Source organism: Homo sapiens, chromosome 7 (genome assembly GCF_000001405.40).
Source record: "Homo sapiens chromosome 7, GRCh38.p14 Primary Assembly".
Classification (NCBI taxonomy): Eukaryota; Metazoa; Chordata; class Mammalia; order Primates; family Hominidae; genus Homo; species Homo sapiens.
The window spans coordinates 53,835,276-53,842,614 of NC_000007.14; the positions used below are offsets into that span (position 1 = coordinate 53,835,276).

The following is a 7,339-nucleotide window of genomic DNA, read 5'->3' on the forward strand; positions in this document are numbered from 1 at the left end:
CTCCAGACAGTAGAATGATGGATCCAATGGCAGCTTGCGCTCTGCACCTGGAAAAGCTGCAGGCACTCAACGCCAACCCATGAGAGCAGCCATGGGGTCTGAATCTTGCAAAGCCATAGAAGCACAGCTGTCAAGGCCTGAGGCGTCTACCCCTCACAGCAGTGTGCCCTGGATGTAAGGCATAGAGTCAAAGGAAATTATTTTGGAGCTTTCAGACTTAATGACTGCCCTGCTGGGTCTGAACCCTGCAAAGCCATAGAGGCACAGCTGCCTAAGGCCTAGGGAGTCTACCCCTCACAGCAGTGTGCTCTCTAGGTAAGAGTTAGAGTCAAAGGAGATTATTTTGGAGCTTTAAGACCTAATGACTCCCTGTTGGGTTTCAAAACTTGATGACTGCCCTGTTTGGTTGCATGGAGCCTGTAGTCCCTTTCTTTTGGTCAATTTTCTCCCTTTCAGAATGGGAATGTTTACCCAATGCCTATACCTACATTGTACCTTGGAAGTAACTAACTTGTTTTGATTTTACAGGCTCAGAGGTGAAAGAGACTTGCCTTGTCTCAAATGAGACTTTGGACTTTGGACTTTTGAGTTAATGCTGGAATAAGTTAAGACTTTGGGTGACTCTTAGGAAGGCATGATTATGTTTTGCAGTGAGAAAGGCATGCAATTTGGGAGAAGCCAGGGACAGAATTACATAGTATAGATATATGTCTCTACACAAATCTCACGTTGAATTTTAATCCCCAATGCTGGAGGAGAGGACTGGTGGGAGGTGTTTCGATCATAGGGGTGGAGCCCTCATTAATGGCTTGGGCCATCCCCTTGGTGATGAATGAGCTTTCACTCTGAATTCACACAAGATCTGATCATTTAAGTGTGTGGCACCAACCCTTCACTCTTTCCCTCATTTGCTCCTGCTTTCATTGTGTGAAGTACCTGTAACCACTTCACCTTACACCACAACTGAAAACTCCCCAAGGCTTCACCAGAAGTGGAGCAGATGCCAGCACCATGCTTTCTGTAAAGCCTACAGAACCATGAACCAATTAAACCTCTATCCTTTATAATTTATCCAGTCTCAGGTATTTCTTTATAGCAGTACAGGAATGAATTAATACACAGATATAGTGAATTTAAAAATATATGCCCATCACAGCTTCAAATTATACAAAGAAAACTGACTGAATTGAAGGTAAAAATAGAAAGAAATAGAATGATACTAGGAAACTTTAATACTCCACTTTAAATAATGACTAGAACAACCAAACAGAAGAGAGAACTTAAACGCTATAAACCATTTGGACTTAACAGGTCACTAAAGAACACTTACCCCAACAAAAGCTGTTTAAATGCACAAGTAATATTCCACAAGACAGAGTATAGATTAGCTCATAAAACAATTCTAAACAATTGTAAAAAGGCTGAATTCAAACAAAGTATCTTTTCCAACCAAAATGTGGTAAAACTAGAGATCAACAGCATAAGAAAAACTTGTAAAATCAATGAATGTGTGGAAATTGGACAACATACTCTCAAATAACAAATTAATCAAAAATTAATCACAAAAAAATTAGAAAAGATTTTGAGACAAAGAAAAAACTACTATATCAGGCTTTCTTGAATTTCTATGAAGAAATACCTAAGACTGGATAATTTATCAAGAAAAAATATTTAATTGGATCACAATTCAGGCTGTACAAGCACGGCATTGACAACAGTCAGCTTTTGGGGAGGTCTCTGGAAGCTTTTACTCATGGAGGGACGTGAAGCACATTATATGGTGAAAGCAGGAATAAGAGTGAGAGGGAGGTACCACATGCTTTAAGCAGACAGACCTTACTGTCACAAGGACAGCACCAAGAGGATGCCACTAAACCATCCATGAGAAATCAACCCCCATGATCCAGTCATCTCTCACCAGGCCCCATCTCCAATACTGAGGATTACAATTCAACATGAGATTTGGGTGGGGACAAATATACAAACTGTATCAACTGCAAAATACCAAATTTAAGGGATGCAGTGAAAACAGCAGTAAGAGGGAAGCTAATAGCTGCAGATGCTTACATTTTTAAAAAGTAAACAACTTTAACCTCAAGAAATCAGAAAAATAAGAAAATGCAAAACAAAATTTAGCAAAAACAAAAAACAATAAAGAATAAAGAAGAGATAAACAGTATGCATAAACAATAAAAATTCAACAAAACCAAGTATTGGTTTTTGGAAAAATAAAAAAATTGGCAAACACAAAGCTAGATTACTTAAAAAAAGAGACACAATTCAAATAATTTCAGAAATGAAAGAGGGAATATTACAACTGATGCCAAAGGGGTTAAAAAAAGATTATAAGATAATACTATGAGCAACTATATGCCAACAAATTGAGTGATGTATATAAAAAAGATACATTTCCAGAGGCATACAACCTTCCAAGAATGAATTATGAAGAAATTTTAAATATAAAAGATCTATAACTAATAAGGTGAGTGAATCAGTATTTTTTAAAATGTAGCAAAATACTAATAAACAGAAGCAGTGAACCATTTGGCTTCACTGGAGAACTATACCTAAAATATGTAGAATTAAAACTAACAATCCTGTAATTCTTTTCAAAAGTTAAAGAGGTAGAAACACTTTCAAGCATTCTATGAGGCCAGTATTATTACCCTGATTTTAAAGCCAGGCAAATATACCACCACAAAAGAAAAATACAGGCCAATATCCCTAATGAACTTTGATGCAGCAGTCCACAACAAATAATTACCAAAATGAATTCAGTAGCATATTAAAAAATTATATATTATTAGCTATGAGATCAATTTCTGGTATGCAAAGATAGGACAACATATAAATATTAATGTGATATATACCACGTTAACAAAATACAAGATAAAAAATATGTGATTATCTAAATTAATGCAAAAACCCATTTGATGCACTCCAGCACCCTTTCATAACAAAAACACTGAATAGCAATAAAATGAAACTACCTCCACTTAATAAAGGCTATATATGAGAAGCCAGTAACTAAGATCATGCATAATGGTGAATGACAGAAAGCTTTTCCTCTAATAGCAGGAAGAAGCCAATGGTGCGCCCTCTCATAACTTTCATTCAACATAGTACTGGAAGTCTTAGACTAGGTAATTAGACAAGACAAGGACACGAAAGCCATCCAAATTGAAATAAAACAAAGAAGTAAAATTGTATCTGTCCAGAGATGACATGATCTTATATTTAGAAACTTTTAGATTCCACAAAATACAACTGCTAAAATCAATAAAAGGATTCAGTAAAGTTGCAGGATATAAAATTAACATAAAATATCTGTTGTGTTTTTATATAATAATAATAAACAAGAAATCAAAAAAGAAAATTAAGAAAACAATCTCATATACAATAATTTGATTATGGTTTGATATGGTTTGGCTGTGTCCCCACCCAAATCTCATCTTGATTTGTGACTAATACAGCATTCAAAATAATACAATGCTTGGGAATAAACTGAATCAAAGAGACTAAAGACTTGCACAAGAAACTACAAAACAATGCTTAAAAAATTTAAAGACACAAATAAATGGAAAGACATCCCATATTCATGGTTTGGAAAATGTGATGTTGTTAGAATGTTCATACTAACACCCCAAAATCTAGATATTTAATACAATCTTTATCAAATCCAGATGACATTTTTGCTGAAATGGAAAAAATAATTCTACAATTCATATGAATTCTCAAGGGACTCAAATAATCAAAACAATCTTGAAAAGCAAGAACAAAGTTGATGATCTCATATTTCTCGATTTCAAAACATATCACAAATTTTCAGTAATCAAAACAGTGTACTATTGGCTTAAAACCAGACATTGAACAATTGAACAAAATAGTAAGACAAGAAATAAACACTTGCTTGTATGGACAATGAAACTAGAAGTATGTCATGACCACTCGATGTGGAGCAAATAGTCTCTTAAACAAATGGTGTTGGTGAACTGAAGTTCACATACAAAAGAACAGAGTTTGATCCTTACCATGCACTATATACAAATATCTAAAAATTGATTAAAGATCTAAATGCAGGACCTAAAACTATACAAATCCTTGAAGACAACATAGAAAAAAAAGCCTCATTGTACTAAATTTGGCAATGATTTCTTAAATATTATACAGAAAGCATAAGTAAGAGCAAAAATGTGCAAATGAGACTACATAAGGATGTAATTGTTGTTAAAATGCCCATACTACCCCCACAAAAATCTAGAGATATAATACAGTCCCTAACAAATCCAAATGACATTTTTGCAGAAATGGCAAAAAGTCCTACAATCCATATGAATTCTCAGGAGACTGAAATAATCAAAACAATCTTGAAAACAAGAACAAAGTTGATCTCGTATTTCTTGACTTCAAAACATGTTACGAAGCTACAGTAAATATACAGTAAGTTATAGTTTTTACTGTAGCTACTGTAAAAAGCTACAGTAAAAAGTTACAGTAAAAACTTAAAATATTTTGTGCATCAAAGAAAACAATTAACAAAGTGAAAAGCCAACCTACAGAAAGGAAAATATTTGCAAATCACACATCTGATAAAAGATAAATACCCCAAATATATAAATATCTCCTACAATTCAGTGACAAAATATATAAAAACTCAAAAATAGGCAAGGAACTTGATTAGATATTTTTCCAGATAAGATATACAAATTGCCAACTAGTATATGAAAAGATGCTTAACATTACTAATAATCAGAAAAATGTAAATTAACAGCACAATAAGATATTATCTCACACCCATTAGGATGACCACTATCAAAAAAAGAGAGAAAGAAAGAAAGAAAGAAAGGAAGGAAGGAAGGAAGGAAGGAAGGAAGGAAGGAAGAAAGAAAGAAAGAAAGAAAGAAAGAAAGAAAGAAAGAAAGAAAGAAAGAAAGAAAGAGAAAGAAAGAAGGAAGGAAGGAAGGAAAGAAAGAAAGAAAGAAAGAAAGAAAGAAAGAAAGAAAGAAAGAAAGAAAGAAAGGAAGAAAAGAAAGAAAATAACAAGTGTTATTGAGAATGTGGAGAAATGTGAACCCTTGTGGATTGTTGGTGGGAATGTAAAATGGTGTATCTGCTGTTGAAAACGGCATGGGAGTTCCTGAAAATTAAAAACAAACAAACAAACAAACAAAAACTACTATGTGATCCAGTAATCCCACTTCTGGGTATATAGTCAAGAGTTGAAAACAGAACCTCAAAATGATATACGCACTAATGCTACTTGCATCATTATTGACAATAGCCAAGATATGGAAGCAACTTCTATGCCCTAGAATGAAAGAATGGGTAGACAAAATGTGGTGTATACACACAAAATACAATATTATTCACTCTTACAAAGAAGAGAATCCTGTTAAATACTGCAGCATAGAGAAACCTCGAGAACATTTGATCAATTGGTCTAGTTGTGGAAGGTAAGATAATTAGTCAAATATAACAGTTATGGAGTACTACAAATGGGCATTGTATATAGTTACGTATGCTTCCTTCTAAATAATACTTCAAACAAAGAAATTAATATTAATACATACTTTCAAACCCCTATAAAGTTAACATTAATTCCTAAAAAAATTAGAGATATTTAAAAATCTTCAGCTTCTTTATTATTTGGTAATATGTTCTTCAGCATTAAAAAAATCGCACATTAATGTCATTTAATGGTACCAGGTTTACATCAAGTCCAGACAAATATTTCTAGATATTAATTTTTTATTTTTTGAGACGGAGTCTCACTCTGCCACCCAGGCAGGAGCGCAGTGGCGCGATCTCAGCTCACTGCGACCTTTGTACCCCGGGTTCAAGCGATTCTCCTACCTCAGCCACCCAAGTAGCTTGGATTACAGGCACCTGCCACTGCGTCCAGCTAATTTTGGTATTTTTATTAGTTTCGCCATCTTGGCCAGGCTGGTATTGAACTCCTGACTTCATGATCCACCTATCTCGGCCTCCCAAAGTGCTGGGATTACAGGTGTGAGCCACCGTGCCCGGCCTAGATATTAATTTTTAAGTTGTTTTTTCTTCCAACATCTGAAGTCATAGAAGGTATTCAAATTAAATAAGTTAAATAGTTAAATAAGATAAATGAATAAATAAGGTGTCTAGTAGTTATTTATTCAATTGAGATGTTTAATGAATTGGAGGCTATCAATAGTTTTTTTTCCCCCCGAAACATTATCTTCAATGTAGCATTAGTAAAAGTTTTGAAACAAGTAAGGAAATAATTCAGGAAACTCATGAAGGTAGTTCTCATACTCATTTATTCACTCAATTTTGACTGTGCATTTGGGAAGAACTAGGAACCATTTTTGAGACTGAAGAGGTACTATTAAATAAGGCCCTAAATTTTATAAGCTGGTGCTGACACCAGTGGAACAAACAGGTCTCATTATGCAACTATGTATTAACTTTTCAGAACATTTAAAAATATGATTTGTTACTTTTTATTATTTATTTATTTATTTATTTTTGAGACAGTGTCACTCTGTCTCTCAGGCTGGAGTGCAGTGGCATCACTGCAATATCCACCTCCCAGGTTCTAGTGATTCTCCTGCCTTAGCCTTAGTAGCTGGGATTACAGGCATGTGCCACCAAGCCCAGCTAATTTTTGTATTTTTAATAGAGATGGGGTTTCACTATGTGGGCCAAGCTGGTCTTGAACTCCTGACGTCAAGTGATCAGCCCCCACCTCGGCCTCCCAAAGTGGTGGGATTACAGGAATTTTTATTTCTTTACAAAGACCTTTTACATGCTCTTTGGGTTTGCTCCTCCTCCTGGAAAATGAGTTAAGATTCACACAAAGCAGATAAAGCAGATAGCTTTATCCAAAGGAAAGCCCTGGTACTGTCTGTCACTCGTAATGTCCACAATTAAACTCAGGACATTTGATTCCAGTTCCATTTGGAAGTTAAACTAGTGCTGTGTTTCCTAAAGTAGGCTAGAAGGAAATGCTGACTCTTCTGGACTGGTGGCAACAGTACTTAGAAAATGGCTTTTGGGATAAGTAAGTGAGGCTAGGTAAACCTCTTAACCAGGTGGTTTTACTTCTACCTGTCAGAGGTTTTAGTGTATTAATATGATAAATCATCAAAAAGTAAGCACAGGTTGCAAGGTTTCTCGAACATAAATGACAATACAATTCTTTTTTCATGGAGTATCTCCTGGGTCTAAATTCAGATGAAACATCTTGGGAGTATCTCTCTCGTTTTCTTTGGTACCACACATAACAGGCCAGGACCTGGAGACATTTGAGCATTCCATATGCCACAGTCCTGTTAAAACTTCTCTTCACCTCTCATCTCCC

At 35.0% G+C, this 7,339-nt stretch overlaps 1 annotated feature.

Annotated features, from left to right (window-relative positions):
• Window positions 1-523: an enhancer, noted in NCBI's record as "NANOG hESC enhancer chr7:53902969-53903491 (GRCh37/hg19 assembly coordinates)". NCBI's record gives its function as "activates a minimal SCP1, AML or CMV promoter by ChIP-STARR-seq in naive H9 embryonic stem cells {active_cell/tissue: H9 hESC(naive)}" and the evidence as "EXISTENCE:reporter gene assay evidence [ECO:0000049][PMID:30033119]".